This window comes from Homo sapiens, chromosome 5 (assembly GCF_000001405.40).
Source record: "Homo sapiens chromosome 5, GRCh38.p14 Primary Assembly".
Taxonomy (NCBI): domain Eukaryota; kingdom Metazoa; phylum Chordata; class Mammalia; order Primates; family Hominidae; genus Homo; species Homo sapiens.
Window position 1 is genome coordinate 69,566,243 of NC_000005.10, and position 19,927 is coordinate 69,586,169.

At 37.2% G+C, this 19,927-nt stretch overlaps 1 protein-coding gene across 15 annotated transcripts in view; it reads left to right on the plus strand.

Annotated features, from left to right (window-relative positions):
* Positions 1-19,927, plus strand: part of GTF2H2C (GTF2H2 family member C) — a 35,031-nt gene that overhangs the window by 6,052 nt on the left and 9,052 nt on the right. For 7 of the 15 annotated variants that reach the window (NM_001376000.2, XM_011543615.2, NM_001098728.3 and 4 more), the window contains 10 exons: positions 347-383; positions 725-811; positions 1,485-1,535; positions 1,911-1,965; positions 6,203-6,308; positions 12,470-12,560; positions 12,779-12,866; positions 13,515-13,622; positions 16,124-16,187; positions 19,352-19,455. In NM_001376000.2, the coding sequence (NP_001362929.1) occupies positions 347-383; positions 725-811; positions 1,485-1,535; positions 1,911-1,965; positions 6,203-6,308; positions 12,470-12,560; positions 12,779-12,866; positions 13,515-13,622; positions 16,124-16,187; positions 19,352-19,455 (791 nt within the window). Of the gene's footprint in view, positions 1-346; positions 384-724; positions 812-1,461; positions 1,536-1,910; positions 1,966-6,202; positions 6,309-12,469; positions 12,561-12,778; positions 12,867-13,514; positions 13,623-16,123; positions 16,188-19,351; positions 19,456-19,927 lie in introns of all 15 variants that reach the window. The other 8 variants (NR_164749.1, NR_164750.1, NM_001376003.1 and 5 more) reach the window with 8 other exon arrangements.

A 19,927-nucleotide genomic window follows, 5' to 3' on the forward strand; every position in this document is an offset into this window, starting at 1 on the left:
AATATATTCATTTTAAGCCTTTCTATCTATAAATACTCCTCAGTACTTCATTTTAGCTGTGTTTCAGGGAAACTGACCTATTGCCTTCTGACTATGGGGAAAGAACTAGCCACCTACCCTTGCCCCAGCAGGAAATGGTCTTTAGAGACTGTCTACAATACCTATAATTATGTGTATTGTATTCCATAAGTTAATTATTTACTCCACTAAAAATGCACGTTATGACATTCTTAATCAGAATTAGAAAAAAAGAAAAACAAAGGAGGTCAATTGGAAAGTTGTATTTTTTTTTGTGGGGGGGGATAGTATATGGAATTACATTAAAATGTTTGTATAATTTTAACAGAGTATTTGAGCACCATGGACAAGTTCGACTTGGAATGGTATGTCATTATTTTTTCTTTTACTAGTACAGAACTAGTTTAGGTTAGAGAAACATTCTGTCTTGCTAGAAAAAACAATAGCAAAACAACAAAGTTTTTAAAAGAATATGTTAAAAATACGTGCATAGAATATGTAATTATTAAATGCCATTTTTACTAGTCAAAATGGCACTTGAGGCTGGGCACAGTGGCTCATGCCTATAATCCCAGCACTTTGGGAGGCCAAGGCAGGAGGATTGCTTGAGCCCAGGAGTTTGAGACCAACCTGGGCAACAGAACGAGACCCAGTTTCTACAAAACAAAACAAGTACTTGAAATTGGCCCTTTCTTTTTTCCGATAGATGCGCCACCTTTATGTGGTAGTAGATGGATCAAGAACAATGGAAGACCAAGATTTAAAGCCTAATAGACTGACGTGTACTTTAAAGGTAAAATTTAAGTTTATACTAAATCATTTAAATTTGTACCAAAATCACTTAAACTTTTACTAAAAAAGTGGGGAAGAACACTGGATTCTAAAGGATATTTTTAAAGAATGCAATATTTTTTATTTTTTGCCTTGTATTTTTAGTTAATGCTAATGATAGCTAAGTAGAAGTACTGCCAGGTTATTTAGGGAAATTTTAAACCAACATAGCTAATTATTTGTGTTTTTAATTTCTATCCTCCCACCCCACATCAGGATCTTGGTTTATCAGTTATCCCTTTTCTTTCTTGAATCTTCATTCTCCTTTGCCTTACTTAACTCTGTCTCCTCAGATTACAAATATGTTCGTATTCCTAATTTATCAAAACCTATTCTCAATTCTGCTCGTTCTCCCATCTCTCTTCATTGGATCTTTTCCTCATTGAAATTTCTTCTGACACATCCAAATGGTTCCATCTTTTAAAACCTAGCTCAAACCTATCTCATCACCCACCATTTCAAATTAACGTTTTTACTGTTTAATATTTTTATTACTTAACAGTTTTTGAAAATCTGTAAGTTTAAAAGTCATGAGAAGTGACGCTTGATTAACAGGTTTCACAAACATCAGTTGGACATGTTCTTTATGATTGTTATTTTGCCTTTATCTAGTATGTCTTTTTTTGTTTAAACAGTTGTTGGAATACTTTGTAGAGGAATATTTTGATCAAAATCCTATTAGTCAGGTACGTATCTAAGTGATAGAATTCAGAATTAGATTCCTATTTTGCTTCCAAATGTAATTTATTTTTAAAAATTGGACATGTATTTTGTGAATTACCCAAATTGTTTAACCAGTTTCTGGTATACTTAAAAATGAAAAGCGTAATAACTCTAAAAGTTAAACGTAATGTGAACTCATAGCTAAATTTATTTGCCAAAAACAGCATGAGAAAAAGTTTCTCACCTGTTGCTTCTTTCTTTTGTAATTACTAGTTTATTTTAGCTATATAAATTATTTTTTTTTCTGCTCCAATATCATCTACAGGAATAGTTATATATATTCTTAATGGGAGGAAATAACTTGTTATATTAATAATAATTTTTGTTTTTATTTCAAGATTGGAATAATTGTAACTAAGAGTAAAAGAGCTGAAAAATTGACTGAACTTTCAGGTATGCATAAAATTACCTTTACATGACTCAAGGACTTTGCTTTATTTACCCAACCTCGTAGCCCTGTTTATATGGCTGCTTAATAAGTAACGTGAAGGGTGGTTCCTCTGTCTTCTCTAGGTGAAACAATTTAATAACATCTCCCCCACCATTATATTCTTAGGATACAAGGTTAACTATTCTAAATTGAGTTCTGCATCATAGTGGTAAATAATACTACATTGAATATAAATGTTTTTATTTAAATTCTATATGTGCTTATCCTGAAATTTTTTTTTCTTTCCTTTTTTTTTTTTTTTTTTTTTTTTGGAGATGGAGTCTTGCTCTGTCGCCAGGCTAGAGTGCAGTGGCACAATTTCGGATCACTGCAAAGTCCGCCTCACGGGTTCAAGCGATTCCCTGCCTCAGCCTCCTGAGTAGCTGGAACTACAGATGCCCGCCACCACGCCCTGCTAATTTTTTGTATTTTAGTAGATACGGGGTTTCACCATGTTGGCCAGTATGGTCTCAATCTCTTGACCTTGTGATCAGCCCGCCTCAGCCTCTCAAAGTGCTGGGATTACAGGCTTGAGCCACCGCATCCGGCCTTATCCTGAAGATATTAAAATACAGTTATTGTAATCATTTATAAAATCCAGTTAATCTTAAAATTAAATTCTTAAAAAGTTAAGCATCTAATTTAAAAGGGAAAAAGTATAAAAATTAAACTGTAGCTATTGCTAATGAATCAATTTTTCTGCTTCCATGACATACCTAACTGAATTTTAGTTTCAAAACGTAGTAATGGCATTTTTTATTTGCTTTGATATATATGCTGTTACAAATTTGCATCACTGATTCTATTTTATTTTCTGTGAAATACACTCTCCCTTAAATCTGGTTTTCAACCTTTTATCCTTGCCGGCACACATAAGGGAAATGACATACTTTCTTCATTAGTAGTTTTTCATTAAATGCAGTGAGGAGTGAAATGTACATTGGCCTGGAGTGATTCAAGAAACTCAGTTGTGAGTAACCAAAAGAATGTCACACTAGCTTAAGTGCAGAAGGAAAATTTTGGGCTATGTTCAAAGGTGGGCCAATTCCATATATAGTTGCTGCATATGTTGGGGTCCTGGCTTTGTCTGGCTTCATTCTCTGATAGATTTTCTGGAAGTTGAAAAGATGTCTCTTAATTGTCCCAGTTCTACATTGTACCCGTAGCCTATAGCTTCAGCACACGTCTAGGGAGAACTCTGATTGGCCTGAGTTACGATCTGCCCATCCATGAACAAAGTGGCCAGGAAATGAAGTATTTTGTTTGTACGCTTCGATTGCCTGCTGATGCCCAGAGCAGGATAGAAGTAGGGTCAGCACCACATGAACTAAGCAGGATTATTATATAGTGGAAGAAGGATGGTTCCTCCAAGGTAGGAATATAAGGTCAATATTTTCCTCTCACTTTACCCACCCCGAGTTACCAGCAGTTTTCTATTGCTTCTTTTTTTTTTTTTTGAGAAGGAGTCTCTCACTCTGTCGCCCAGGCGGTGCTGTCTTGGCTCACTGCAACCTCCGCCTCCCGGGTTCAAGAGATTCTCCTGCCTCCCCCTCCCGAGTAGCTGGGATTACAGGTGTGCGCTGCCACACCTGGCTAATTTTATTTTTAGTAGAGACAGGATTTCACCATGCTGGCCAGGCTGATCTCGAACTCCTGACCTCAGGTGATCTACCCACCTCAGCCTCCCAAAGTGTTGGGATTACAGGCATCAGCCACCATGCCCGGCCCCAGCAGTTTTCTATGGATGTTAGTGAAGTCATGTATAAAGATGAAAAATATTCTGGAGATTCTGACAGGCCTCTTGAAGCCACCTTTTTTTCCCTCCAATCAGACCACTGCTGTAAACCACACTGACACTATTGTAGTATGCTTTTTTCCTATACCCATAACACAGTGGGAGATTAAAAATAATTTTGTAGGGTAGGAAGAGAAGTGGATAGAGAGCCAGGAGATCTAGGTTTGGGTGCTGCTGGTCCTGCAGTTAAGCAGGCATATGTCTTTGGGCAAGTCATTTCACTTGTTTAGATTAATTTTCTCACTTATGAAGTGAGGGATTTGGACTGCTTAGCGAGGTACTTTTCATCTCTAAAATTTATGAATCTAAAATACTTGCAGTAAATATTAAATATTACAAATGGTTAATATTTTAAAACTTACTCAGATGAGTAAAAACTCAAGGGAGCTCCAAGTTGATGAATAGACAAAGAAGACATGATTCACACAGAAAAAACCCAGAAATTAAATCAGGGAAACTAGTAATCCAAAAACACTCTACCCAATTACATAACATTTTATTTTTTAATATATTTTAAATGAGCAAAATTAAGTTTCCAAAGCAATATGTTGCTTGTGGAACCACAGAGAAACTGTTATTTATAGTGCTGATAGTCTTACAAATTAGTTCAATATTTTTTAGAAAAGCATAAAAATTGTTCCTGAAATTATATTTAGGGAATGTTATGGAAGGAGAATGATCACTCTACAAAGATACTCTTTGTAACATTATGTATAATAGTGACAGATTAAAAATTAAATGTTTAATAGTATGCTTTGATGGATTATATTTTATGACAAAATCAATTTAATGATACTTAGGTTATTGATTGATACGAAGACAGTGCTGAAATGGAAAATGTTTACGGAATACTATATTTCATTGAAACTCAGATTCCATCAATTACAAGATACTTTTATAAGCCATTAAGAAGGAAAAGTCCTAGTAGTTAAACTTTGACACAGTATCAAATGATATATGAGTTGGCTATACTAGCTTCTTGGTAATTTGACATGTACAGACATCTCAAATTTGGGGGCCAGGTGTGGTGACTTACACCTGTACTCCCAGCACTTTGAGAGGCTGAGGCGGGAGGATTGCTTGAATCCAGGAGTTCAGGACTAGCCTGGACAACATGGTGAAACCCTGTCTCTACCAAAAATATACAAAAAAATTTAGCCAAGTGTGGTGCTGGGCACTTGTAGTCCCAGCTACTTGGGAGGTTGAGGTGGGAGGATGGTTTGAGCCTGGGAGGTGGAAGTTGCATTGAGCCAAAATTGCCCCATTGCACTCCAGCCTGGCAACAGATATATATATAATCTAAATATAAATAATATAAAAAAATATTATATTAAAAAGAAAAAAAAGGATTTGGCAGCTTCTCCCCCCTTCATTTGAATTGCTTAGCATAAGATAGACAATCTTTTCAGATGCTATTTGGTAAGATAACACAGCCTCGTCTGTTTGTGGGAATATTCGTTTCTTAGGTCTTGTAAAGTTCTTGATTTCTTCCCTCAAGAAAAATACGGAATTGCATGCATTCTTCCATCAATATTTGATTCATTATAATAAATTTATGCCTCACTGCTGTGTTCCACACCTTTCTACATAAAAATATAGCCTTTTGTATTAACAACATTTCTAAAAACATTTTATTGTTTGTTTTTTGAGATGGAGTTTCGCTGTTGTTGCCCAGGCTGGAGTGCGGTGGTGCAATCTCAGCTCACTGCAACCTCCACCTTCTGGGTTTAAGTGATTCTTGTGCCTCAGCCTCCCTAGTGGCTGGGATTACAGGTGTATGCCACCATACCCAGCTAATTTTTGCATTTTTACTACAGATGGGATTTACACCATGTTGACCAGGTGTGTCTTAAACTCCTGACCTCAGGTTATCTGCCTGCCGTGGTCTCCCAGAGTGCTGGGATTACAGGCGTGAGCCACCGCGCCTGGCCTTAAAAACATTTTAAATGGCAGTTAAACTCACCATGAAGAGGACAATGTACATAATGCAATTGAAGCAACAACATATGAAGACCTATTTGTAGGTTCACATATGAACAGGCAAAGACTATGTTACAAGTGCTGCTGGCTACCAGTAATTATTAAACACATGCTGATTTCAGAGATGTTAAATGTGAAAATGTATTGGTCTTAAAAATGATGAAATATGGAAATATTAAGAGTAAAAAAATGCACTCTAGGTTAGCATTATTTTAAAATATGTATGCTAGTCTATAAGGAGATTATTTGTATTCTGTTTTTCAGTATGAAGTGAGAGTGTTTACAAAATATTGCAGATAAAATTCCAACAGAAATATACATTGAAAGGATTCTGTTCTTTAACATCATAGATATGTAAATTTTGAGAGAAACATAAACTTTTTTAATATATAGGATTTTATTTAAAGACCTTATTTCTATTTTAGGAAACCCAAGAAAACATATAACGTCTTTGAAGGAAGCTGTGGATATGACCTGCCATGGAGAGCCATCTCTTTATAATTCCCTAAGCATGGCTATGCAGACTCTAAAGTTAGTATTATACATTATGTATAATTGAATTAGAAGTTTTTTAAATGAGTTAAGTTGAAGTGATGTGTTAATATGGGGCCCATAAACCCAGCTATAACAAAATTGTTAAGTACGAGAATTATGTAGTGTTATTTATGATGTTTAGTGTGGTGTTGGTTAGTAATTTTTATTTTACATTTTAGTAAGATATTGTTAAAGGTTTTATAAAAATATAATTTAAAACTGTCGGCAGTATCAATAGTACAAAAATAGGTTGATGAAAAAATATTTTATTAAAATGAGATTTAATATAGTATAATAATTGTAAGTTGGTTGTACCTTTATTAACATTTATTATTTTATTTTGAAAGTAATGGCCAAAACCACAATTCCTTTTGCACCAATGTCATATATCTGTAAATTAATAGATATGGCAAGTTCAGCTATATGGAATAGAGCTAAGACCCCAAAGGAAATACTTGGTATAGTTAAAGCTTATATATATATATAAGCTTTATATACATATTATATATATAATTTATTATACATATATATAAAGCTTATATATATGTTAAACTTACATATATAAGTTAAAGCTTATATATCTATTATATATACACACACACACACACACACACACACACACACACACACGTATATATATATATTTTTTCGAGACAGAGTCTTGCTCTGTCACCCAGGCTGGCATGCAGTGGCGTGATCTCAGCTCACTACAACCTCCACCTCTGGGTTCAAGTGATTCTTGTGCCTCAGCCTCCCTAGTGCTGGGATTACAGGTGTGTGCCACCATGCCCAGCCAATTTTTGTATTTTTAGTACAGATGGGGTTTCATCATGTTAGCCAGGCTGGTCTTGAACTCCTGGCCTCAAGCGATCCGCCCACCTCAGCCTCCCTAAAGCTTATATATTTTATCTCTGGATAGTCTGCCCTGGCTCAGACTTATACCTTTATATAATAGATATTTTTCTAGTTTTGAAGTGGATGAGAAGGAGGCAACACATGTAATAGAGGTAAGTACAGTAGTAGGGTCTACCAGTGAGAGCTGAGACGATAACAATGAAAATATAAGCAGGAAAGCTATAACTAATTGATAAAATTGCTGCAGAAAGCATAAAAACGTCTATTTAGTGTAGGTGAAAACTGGTCACCACAACTTAAAACTCTACAAGCTATCATTTTAATTAAATGGTATGCAATATTAATGTTCATGATTATTATGACTCTGAATTACTGTGAGGTTAAATTATAGTAATCCCCCCTTATCTGCAGTTTCACTTTCCAGTTTTAGTTACTCTTGGTCTGAAAATATTAAATTGAAAACTTCAGTAATAAATAATTCATAAGATTTAAGTTGTGTGCCATTCTGGGTAGCGTGATGAGATCCTACACCTTCCCTCTCTGTCCTGCCCAGGACGTGAATCATCCCTTGGTCCTGTAGATCCTCACAGTATATGCTGCCCACCCATGTAATGGCCTAAGTCATCAGATTAACTGTTGTTATTGACTGTCAAAACTATTGCAGTGTTTGTGTTATTTTACTTAATAATGACCTCAAAGTGCAGGAGTAGTGATGCCGGCACGTTGTTATAAATGTTCCATTATTAGTTATTGTTGTTAATCTCTTATTGTGCCTAATTTATACATTATTGATCATAGGTGTGTATGTAAGGCACACCTCATTTTGTTGCACTTTTATTGCACTTTTCAGATAACTTTTTTTTTTACAAACTGACAGTTTATGGCAACTCTGTTGAGCAAGTCTGTTGGTGCCATTTTTTTTTAACAGCATGTGCTCACTTCTTGCCTCTATATCACACTTTGGTAGTTCTTGCAATATTTCAAGCTTTGTAAATTATTGTTATATCTGTTATGGTGATCTGTGATCAGTGATCTTTGATGTTACTATTGTAATTATTTTAGGGCACCACAAACTGCGCCCATATAAGACAACAGACTTAATTGATAAGTGTTACGTGTGTTCTGACTGCTCCACCAACTGGCTGTTTTCCAGTCTCTCTCCCTCTGTTCGGCCCCCCCATCTCCTAAGACACAAAAATATTCAAGTTACACCAATAATAACCCTCCAGTGGCCTCTGAGTGTTCAAGAGTAAGGAGGAGTCGCATGTCTCACTTTAAATCAAAAGCTAGAAATGATTGAGCTTAGTGAGGAAGGCATGTCAAAATGCAAGACTGGCTGAAGGCTAGGTCTCTTGTGCTAAACACTTAGTCACATTGTGAATGCAAAGGTAAAGTTCTTGAAGGAAATTGAAAGTGCTGGGCTGTGCGTGGTGGCTCTTACCTGTAACTGCAACACTTTGGGAGGCTAAGATGGGAGGATCACCTGAGGCCATGAGTTTGAGACCAGTCCTGGTAACATAGCAAGACCTCCATCTCTACAAAAAAAAAAAAAAAAAAAAAATTAGCCAGGCACAGTGGCGAGCACCTGTATGTAGTCCCTAACTTCTCAGGAGGCTGAGGCAGGAGGATTGAGCCCAGTAGTTTGAGGCTGCAGTGAGCTACGATTGTGCTACTGTACTCCAGCTTGTATGATAGAGCAAGATCCTGTCTCAAAATAAGAAAAAAATAATGGAAATTCAAAGTGCTGCTTCAGTGGACACATGAATGATAAGAAAGTGAAACAGCTTTATTGCTGATACAGACAAAGTTTTAATGGTCTAGATAGAAGATTAAAGTAGCCACAACAGTCCATTAAGTCAAATCCTAATCCAAAGCAAGGCTCTAATTCTCTTCAATTCTATGAAGGCTGAGAGCAGTGAGGAAGCTGCAGAAGAAAAGTTTGAAGCTAACAGAGCTGAGCTCATGAGGTTAATGAAAGAAGCCATCTCCAAAACATAAAAGTGTAAGAGGGGCTGGGCGCGGTGGCTCACGCCTGTCATCCCAGCACTTTGGGAGGCCAAGGTGGGCAGATCATGAGGTCAGGAGTTCAAGACCAGTCTGGCCAACATAGTGAAACGCTGTCTCTACTAAAAATACAAAAAATTAGCCAGGTGTGGTGGTGTGCGCCTATAATCCCAGCTACTCGGGAGGCTGAGGCAGGAGAATCGCATGAACCCAGGAGGCAGAGGTTGCAGTGAGCCGAGATCGCGCCATTGCACTTTAGCCCAGACGACACTGTGAGACTCCGTCTCAAAATAAAAAAAAAAAAAGTGCAAGAGGAAGCAGCAAGTGCTGATGTAGAAGCTGCAGCAAGTTATCCAGAAGATCTAGCTAAAATAATTGATGAAGGTGACTACACTAAATATCAAATTTTCTTTTTCTTTTTTGTTTTTGAGAGAGGGTCTCGCTCTGTCACCCAGGTTAGAGTGCAGTGGTGCAATCATGGATCACTGCAGCCTCAAACTCCCAGGCTCAAGCTATTCTCCCAGCCCCACAAGTAGCAGGGACTACAGGCATGTGCCACCACACCCAGCTAATTTTTGTTGTTGTTGTTGTTGTAGAGGTAGGGTTTCGCCACATTGCCCAGCTGGTCTTGAACTCCTGGGCTCAAGCAGTCCTCCGCCTCTGCCTCCCAAAGTGCTGGGATTACAAGCATGAGCCACTGCACCTGGCCTCATATTTTCAATGTAAATGAAACAGCCTTCTGTTGGAAGGAGATGCCATCTAGGATTTTCATAGCTAGAAGAAGTGAATGCCTGGTTTCAGAGCTTCATGGGATAGGCTTCTTCTCTTGTTAGGGGCTAATACAGCTGGTGACTTGATGTTGGCACCAATGTTTGTTACCATTCTGAAAATCCTAGAGTCCTTAAGAATTATTCTAAATCTATTCAGTCTGTGCTCTGCAAATGGAATAACAAAGCCCAGATAACAGCACATCTGTTTACAGCATGGGCTTACTGAATATTTTAAGCCCATTGTTGAGATATATCTCAGAAAAAAGATTTATTTCAAAATATTATTGCTCATTGACAATGCACCCAGTCACCCAAGAGCTCTAATTGAGATGTACAAGAAGATTAATGTTATTTTCATATCTACTAACATAGCACTCATTCTGCAACCCTTGGATAAAGGAATACTTTGAACTTTCACGTCTTGATTATTTAAGAAATACATATCATAAGGCTGTGACTGCCATAGATGGATCTGAGCAAAGTACATTGAAAACCTTCTGGAAAGAATTCACCATTCTAAATGCCATTCATAGAAAGAGGTCAAAATATCTACACTGGCTGGGCATGGTGGCTCATGCCTGTAATCCCAGCACATTGGGAGGCCGAGGCGGATGGATCACTTGAGGTCAGGAGTTCAAGACTAGTCTGGCCAACATGGTGAAACCCGTCCTCACTAAAAATACAAAAATTATCTGGGCATGGTGGTGCATGCCTGTAATCCCAGCTACTGGGGAGGCTAAGGCAGGAGAATTGCTTGAACCCAGGAGGCAGAGGTTGCAGTGAGCCGAGATCGCACCACTGCACTCCAGCCTGGGTGTCAGAGCAAGAATCAGTCTCAAAACAAAAAAAGAATAGCCCATAAACTTAGTTGGTAAAGCATCAGTGGGGTTTCAAAGGAATGACTCCCATTTTGAAAGAGGTACTACTATGAATAAAATGCTACCAAACAGCATTTGCATTCCTTTCATGAAAGGAAGAGTTGACCCATGTAACAAACTACTTTGTCTTATTTTAAGAAATTGCCATAGCCACCTCACCCTTCAGAAAGCACCACTCTGATCAGTCAGCAGCCATCAATATCAAGGCAAGACTCTCCTTCAACAAAAAGATATTATTCACTGACAGTTCAGTCGATTTTTAGCAATAAAGTATTTTTCATAAAGGTGTGTACTTTTTTTTTTAGATATAATGCTGTTGCACACTTACTAGACTACAGTATAGTGTAAACAGAACTTTTCTTTTTCTTTCTTTTTTTTTTTTTGAGACGGAGTCTCGCTCTGTCGCCCAGGCTGGAGTGCAGTGGCGCAATCTTGGCTCACTGTAAGCTCCGCCTCCTGGGTTCACACCATTCTCCTGCCACCACGTCCGGCTCATTTTTTTGTATTTTTAGTAGAGACGGGGTTTCACCGTGTTAGCCAGGATGGTCTCGATCTCCTGACCTCGTGATGTGCCCGCTTCAGCCTCCCAAAGTGCTGGGAATACAGGCGTGAGTCACCATCCCTGGCCGTAAACAGAACTTTTATATACACTAGGAAACCTGAAAGTTCATGTGACTTGCTTTATTGCAAATATTTATTGTGATATTTGCTTTATTGCTGCGGTCTGGAATCCAACCCTGCAGTATCTCCAAGGTATGCCTGTATAGGGAAAAACATGGTATAATCAGCCCTCTGAATCCTGGGAATTCGATCAACCACGCATCAAAAATTTTTGGAAAAAAATTGTACCTGTACTGAACAAATAGACATTTTTTCTTGCCATTATCCCCTAAATAATAGAGGATAACAATTACTTACATAGTATACATTGTATTAGGTATTATCAATAATCTAGAGATGACTTAAAATATATGGGAGGATGTACATAGGTTATATGCAAATACTACGCCCTTTTGTATCTGGGACTTGAACATCTGCAGATTTTGGTATCCATAGGAGGGCCTGAAATCAATCCCCCAAGGATACCGAAGAACGACTGTATATATAGGGTTCAGTACTATCCTTGATTTCAGGTATCCACTGGGGGTCTTGGAATGTATCCTCTGCAGATAAGAGGGGACTACTATAGTCTTTGAGAAAGAAGTGTGTGTTACTGTTTTGAAGCCACATCTCTGCACTTTAAAGCTGATCCATATGATATTGCCACATTTTAGTTTAAAGTTTATCCATATATTGTTGTATTTTTTATTGTATACTCTAGACTTTGTATGAAACAAACCTACTAGAATGTAAGCTTAATGATGTCGGGAACATTGTCAGTCTTGTTTATCACTCTACCCCCAGAACTTGAGAGTACTTGGTAAATATTAAATGAATCAATTAACAATTTTTTGAAGTGCATAGCTCATTTTAGAAAAATTTGCATTAAAGTGTTTAAAATATACTCACAACCTTTCTTTGCATTGTTGAAACAAATGAGATATTCTATAGTCTAAATGTGTAATCCTATGTTTACTGTTCTTTCTGGGTAAATTTTTTGGTAGTATAATTTGTTGTACCTAATTGGAGTGTATTTTATCTTTCTTTTAAGACACATGCCTGGACATACAAGTCGAGAAGTACTAATCATCTTTAGCAGCCTTACAACTTGCGATCCATCTAATATTTATGATCTAATCAAGGTAGACCAAAAAATCAAAACCAAAGTTATAACTGTAAAGAGAATTCTGTAGCAAATTGATTTATATATATATGTATTTTTGTATGTGTGATTCATCTTTGTGTTAGATGTATTGAATTTATTACTAGTTTTCAGAGCATTCTTTATTTTTCAAATACATTAAATCTTAAATGTTTTTCTTCTTTCCTAAAACTATCTATCTACTTGGATTTTATGAAGACCCTAAAGGCAGCTAAAATTAGAGTATCTGTTATTGGATTGTCTGCAGAAGTTCGCGTTTGCACTGTACTTGCTCGTGAAACTGGTGGTATATATATAATTTATTTAATATTTGCTTATAATTACTGTGTAGGAAATAATTTATTAATTAAATTAGGATGTTTTAATCTGTTCTGAGCTACTAAACTTAAAGTAGTCTAAAATATGGGCAGTCATCTTAAATATATCATTGATTCCATAAGAAATCATCTCCAAATGCAAAGAGTTTTCAGTACTTATGTCAGTATTTAGAGGAGGTATTATAACTCTTGGAAAGCTGGAAATTTTACTGTATGTAATTCTTTATAAAGATTTTATAACTTGTCTTTAATTAAATTGTAATTACAGGCCAGGCATGATAGCTCATGCCTGTAATCTCAACATTTTGGTAGGCCAAGGCAGGAGAATCACTTGAGGCCAGAAGTTTGAGATCAGTCTGGTTAACATAGTGAGACCTGTCTCTATTTATATGTTAAAATAATAATAATAGTAATAATAATCAATTGTAATTATAGTTATTCCTAGAGAAGTTGATTTAGATATATTACTTAAATAAGGTTTTAAAAGTGATAATTTAGCTAAAATCATTATTTTAAAAATGTACATTTTCAGATGATACAACTTTTACAGAATTACATAGAACGTACAGTTCGTTATGTCTATGAAGGTGTTTTTTTTTCCCTTTTCATCTTGTTAGGCACGTACCATGTTATTTTAGATGAAAGCCATTACAAAGAGTTGCTCACACATCATCTTAGTCCTCCTCCTGCTAGCTCAAGTTCTGAATGCTCACTTATTCGTATGGGTAAGTGTTTTTATGTTTTTAAAAAATACATATCTAGGCTCTCTATTTTCATTTGCACAAGTTATTTTAATATTTAAGAATTTTTAAAGAAAAAATATGCTTGTTGAAGCAATTTTGGAAAGTACAGAGAAGTGGAAAAAAAAAATTAAAACTACCAGTAGTCCTGTCACCCAGAAAATACTGTTGGCTTTCTTTATTTTTAAGGCTAGAAAGGTATAAACTGTGTTTATAGAAAAATACTTATATTAAGCCGGGCTCGGTGGCTCACACCTGTAATCCCAGCACTTTGGGAGGCCGAGGTGGGCGGATCTTGAGGTCAGGAGATCGAGACCATCCTGGCTAACACGGTGAAACCCCATCTCTACTAAAAATACAAAAAATTAGCCAGGCGTGGTGGCGGGCGCCTGTAATCCCAGCTCCTCGGGAGGCTGAGGCAGGAGAATGGCATGAACCCGGGAGGCAGAGCTGGCAATGAGCCGAGATCACACCACTGCACTCTAGCCTGGGCGACAGAGCGAGACTCTGTCTCAAAAAAGAAAACAAAAGAAAAACACTTATATTAAAAATTTTTTAAAATAAGCTACAAAGGCCGGGCGTGGTGGCTCATGCCTGTAATCCTAGCACTTTGGGAGGCCGAGGCTAGCGGATCACCTGAGGTCAGGAGTTTGAGACCACCCTAGCCAACATGGCGAAACCCTGTCTCTACTAAAAATTACCAAAAAATGGCTGGGCATGGTGGCAGACATCTGTAATCCCAGCTACTCAGGAGGTTGAGACAGGAGAATTGCCTGAACTCAGGAAACGGAGGTTGCCATGAGCTGAGATTGCGCCACTGCACTCCAGTCTGGGTGACAGAGCAAGACTCTGTCTCAAAAAAATAAAATAAAATAAAAATAAAATAAGCTACAAAATTCTCTGTACTGGATGATCAAAGCTGTGTAATACAAACTGTGCAAAGACAAAGCTTGCAGGGAAGTACACCAAATTGCTCAAAGGAGGGGAAATTATTGGTTTTGGATCACTTTTTTTTTTCTTTTTTTTTTTGAGATGGAGTCTCATTCTATTTCCTAGGCTGGAAGTGCAGTGGTGCGATCTCAGCTCACACTGCAACCTCCGCTTCCCAGGTTCAAGCAATTCTCCTGCCTCAGCCTCCCGAGTAGCTGGGATTACAGGCGGGCACCACCATGCCCAGCTAATTTTTGTATTTTTAGTAGAGACGGGGTTTCACCATGTTGGCCAGGCTTGTCTTGAACTTCTGACCTCATGATCCGCCCGCCTCGGCCTCCCAGAGTGCTGGGATTACAGGCTTGAGCCACTGTGCCCGGCCTTGGATCACTTTTTTAAAATGTTATTTTCTTCTATTTTACAAAAATGTTACAATGAAAATTTATTACATTTAGATTGAAAAAAGTATAACTTTTAATAGAAAAATAATCTCCTTATTTAATATGTATGTTTTTAAATGTTAATGAAATAAAATGCTTTTCTACTTTTGGCCTTTTATATTACCAGTCGACCTCTCTTTTCCACGGTCTTCTCATGTGTTTAATGATGTCAGTAACTATCAACCTTATTGTGTGTTTCAAGGATTGAGTTAATACAGATGATGCGTTTAGAATAATGCTTGATGTAAACATTCAATATATTTTAGATCTTATGTTTGGCTAATCTTTTTGATTTACTGATATATTTTCTTATTTCATTTTAAAGTTATTTAAATTTATAATTTATTTATTAGAGTCCTTTAGGAATGTTAACCCTTCTCAGTCACCCGATGCAAATATTTTTCTTGTTGGTTATTTGCCTTTACTTTTATTTATTTGTTTTGATATGTAGATACATTTACATTTTTTATGTAATATATCTTTTTAAAAATGGTTTCTGCTTTTCCTGAACATGTTTTCAGAATTTAAAATTGTATATGGAAAACAAATTACATGAAAGATTTGAGCATTTCAAAATTTTAAACATAAAAGCATAAACGTAGATAAAATGAAGGTGTACTATGATATCTTCAGTTTTATCAGAAATGATGTAAAAATTACAACCTCTTTAAAAAGTAGTGTTAATCATTAAGTTAGAAAATATATAGCTGGGCATGGTGGCAGATGCCTGTAATCCCAGCTACATGGGAAGGTGAGGTGGGAGAATCGCTTGAACCCAGGCAGTGGAGGATGCAGTGAGCCAAGATCATGCCACTGCACCCCAGCCTGGGTGACAGAACAAGACTCCATCTCAAGAAAAAAAAAAAAGAAAAATATATATATGAACTTCAGAATCTGAGGTCATATATAGACAGGTCTTTCCCCCGTTTCCTCTACTTTTTCTTGTAGCTTGGAATTAGTCAGTTTCATCATGCTATAATAAGCTTATCTGAAAGGCAGTAAAGTGATATTTTGTACAACTTCATTGGCTTTTTGAGAAGAACATTTTTAGGTTCTTAGTCCTAGAATTCTGCTGTTTGCTTGGAAAAAGAAAGTAATACATTTTCTTCTATGAAGGATTTCCTCAGCACACCATTGCTTCTTTATCTGACCAGGATGCAAAACCCTCTTTCAGCATGGCGTAAGTAAAGACCTTGAAAATATCAGTAATAATGTTTTTACATTTTTAATTCCTTCTTTTAAGTTATAAATTCAAAAGATAGGCAATGAAGACTATCTCTATATACTTGTATGGAGTGATCTTCAGGATAAATTACTAAGTAAAACAGTAGTTTGAGAGAATTTTGTAGTATGCTGCTAATCACCTAAGAAGAAAGTAGAGATGTAAGTGGATGTATATACTTGTTTATGTTAATAATAAAAACAATAGTATGGAAATAATAAAAACTTAAAAGGGGTGGAGGGGGAAATTTTTTTTTTTAATGTTTACCTCAGTGAGTGTGTAGGGAAAAGCAAAGGGTTAGACCCTAGACTTTTCTGAATGCATCACTTAATGATAGGGACACATTCTGAGAAATGCGTCATTAGGTGATACCATCATTGTGCAAACATCACAGAGTGCACTTACACAAACCTAGATAGTGTAGCCTACTAACATCGCAGTTATATAGTATAGCCTATTGCTCCTAGGCCGCACACCTGTACAGCATATTGTGTACTGAATAATGTAGGCAGTTGTAATGTAACACCTAGTGTTTGTTTAACTAAACACAGAAAAGGTACAACTAAAATGTATTATTTTATGGGACCACTGTCATATATGTGGTTCATCACTGACCAAAATGTTATATAGAATATTACTGTACCTTGTTTTAACTTCAGAGCTTTGTATTTTACATAATTATAAAACAAAATTAAATTTAAGAGAGTAATTCTTAAAAATCACAAACAAGATTTCTGCCTCCAGCCAAAAAGCTGTAACAGGGACTAGATTTACCCTCCTGTCAAAAAAAGCAGACAAAATATATAAAACAGTGGTTTTCAGACGTTGGACAGCAAGCCTTGCTGATAATGATCCCTGAAAGAAAGGAAACAAATGAGATGGGCCCTAAGAGCACTCCACCTTACTGCCTGGATGGAATTTCCAGGCTGCACACAGAGGCTGGAGATGTTGTTGAGTTGAAGAAACAAAGTTCATCTTTCAAGGAGGCTGAGATGGCGATAATTTTGCAGGTCAGAGTACTGGAGAGGAAAGATCTGCACAGAGAGAACTCTCTGGGGAGCTGCATAGACTTGCTCATGAGTCAGCAGCTGAGCGTTGATCAGCCCTTTTGTGTGAGGAGACTACTGGAAGTCAGGGAAAAAATCACTGGAAAGCAGCAGACAGAACAGTTTCCAGAGCTCACACAGAGAACATTCATGTTCTCACCAGTCTGTATGGAAATACCTCTTAACATGACAGGCATTGAATAGAGTCCACAGTAATGGGATCAAATTAATTCTATCACAAGAACTGGAACCAGAGGCAAAAAGAAAAGAAAAGAAAAGAAAAATCTAGACTAACAGCTGTTCTAGACCAGCCTACCAAAGTTTAAAAGCAAATTTTGAAGAGATTAAACTATTTCCAAGTTAATGAAGTATATTTCAGAACAAACCCTTAAATATTTGAGGGAATACAAAAAAAAAGAAAAAGAAAAAATCCAGCCCCCAAAACAAAGCAAAATTCACAATGTCTGGCAAAGCAAAATTCATAGTCCCTGGCAGAAATTACCAGGGATGCAAAGGAAAATATGACCCATAAAATGGAGAAAAATCACAGAATGGAAACATACCCAGAAATAACCCAGTTGGTAGAATTAATAGACAAAGGGTTGGGTGCGGTAGCTCATGCCTGTAATGCTAGCACTTTGGGAGGCTCAGGTGGGCAGATCACTTGAGCCCAGGAGTTCGAGATCAGCACAGCCAACATGGCGAAACCCATCTCTACTAAAAACACAAAAATTAGCCAGGCCTGGTGGCACACGCCTGTAATCCCAGCTACTTGGGAGGCTGAGGTACAAGAATGACTTGAACCCAGGAGGTAAAGGTTGCAGCGAGCTGAGATCGTGCCATTTCACTACAGCCTGGGTGACAGAGCGAGACTCTTATCAAAAAAGAAAAAAAAGAATTAGTAGACAAAGATGTTAGGACAACAATTATAAATGTACTCTGTATGTTCAGGATGTTAGAGAACATGAGAATGGTAAGAAGAGATATGGAAGGTATAAAAAAGACCCAAATCAAACTTCTAGTGATGAAGAATACAGTGTTTTAGATGAAAAATATATTGGCTGGGATTAACAGCAGATTAGACACTGCAGAAGAAAAAATTAGTGAATTCAAAGATAGTAATAGAGACTTTAAAAATGAAGAGAAGGGCTGGGTGTAGTGGCTCACATCTGTAATCCCAGCACTTTGGGAGGCCGAGGCAGGCAGATCACTTGAGACCAGGAGTTTGAGACCAGCCTGGCCAACATGATGAAACCCCATCTCTACTAAAAATACAAAAATTAGCTGGGTGTGGTAGCACGTGCCTGTAATCCCAGCTACTCAGGAAGCCAAGGCACGAGAATTGCTTGAACCTGGGAGGCGGAGATTGTAGTGAGTTGAGATTGTGCCACTGCACTCCAGCTTGGGCAACAGAGTGAGAATCCGTCTCAAAAAAAAAAAAAAAAAAATGAAGAGGGGGAAAAAAATGAATGTAGCATAATTGAGTTATAAGACATACTCACAGATTTTAAAATAGACTTTTAGACCAGGCATGGTGGCTCACACCTATAATCCCAGCACTTTGGGAAGCTAAGGCAGGTGGATCACTTGAGGCTAGGAATTCAAGACCAGCAATATAGTGAGAGACCCCCATCTCTACAAAAAGTTATAAATTTTTTTTTTAAATATAGACTTCTTTTGTTTTTTTTTTGAGATGGAGTTTCACTCTTGGCACCCGGGCTGGAGTGCAGTGGTGCAATCTCAGCTCACTGCAACCTCTGCCTCCTGGGTTCAAGCAATTCTACTTCAGCCTCCCAAGTAGCTGGGATTACAGGCGCCTGGCTAATTTTTGTATTTTTTAGTAGAGATGGGGCTTCACCGTGTTGGCCAGGCTGGTCTTGAACTCCTGACCTCAGGTGATCCACCCGCCTTGGCCTCCCAAAGTGCTGGGATTACAGGTGTGAGCCTCTGCGCCCGGCCAAAAATACAGACTTTTAAATAGATTTTTAAATAGTGTCAAGATTTTAAGGTCAAGATAGCATGCTTTCCCGCTCTAACTTTTCAGATCATTATATATTACCCTTTTTCCCCCTACAGGCATTTGGATGGCAATACTGAGCCAGGGCTTACATTAGGAGGCTATTTCTGCCCACAGTGTCGGGCAAAGTACTGTGAGCTACCTGTTGAATGTAAAATCTGTGGTAAGAAAACAACTATTCATTATTCAGTAAATCTTGAATGACTTCTTAATCTGTATTGCTGCTAAAATTAATGTAAATGTTAAGTTATTCCTATGTTTCTGGATTTAATCTGTGCAAAGAAAAATAGATTACTTTTTAAATTGAGTGCCCAGTACTCCACTTCCACGTATAAATGTAGCATTCTAGTTTCCTGATCCTCTTTCTGAAAAAAGTATATTCTTTAAAGGCAGTGCAGTAGATGTAGTAGACATTTTTCCATCTCTTACCTTTATAAAGTAAATATATATAAGAATGAAGAATTAAACTAATAGAATTGTCGAATTTTATTTCATTTATAATATAAGTAAGCAAATAGACCGAGACAGGTTGGTTACACACTTAGTGACAGAACTAAGACTCCATCCTACAATCTTCTGTTATAGCCACAGGTAAAATTAATAACTGCCATCCTAAAAGAAACTGAACATATTCT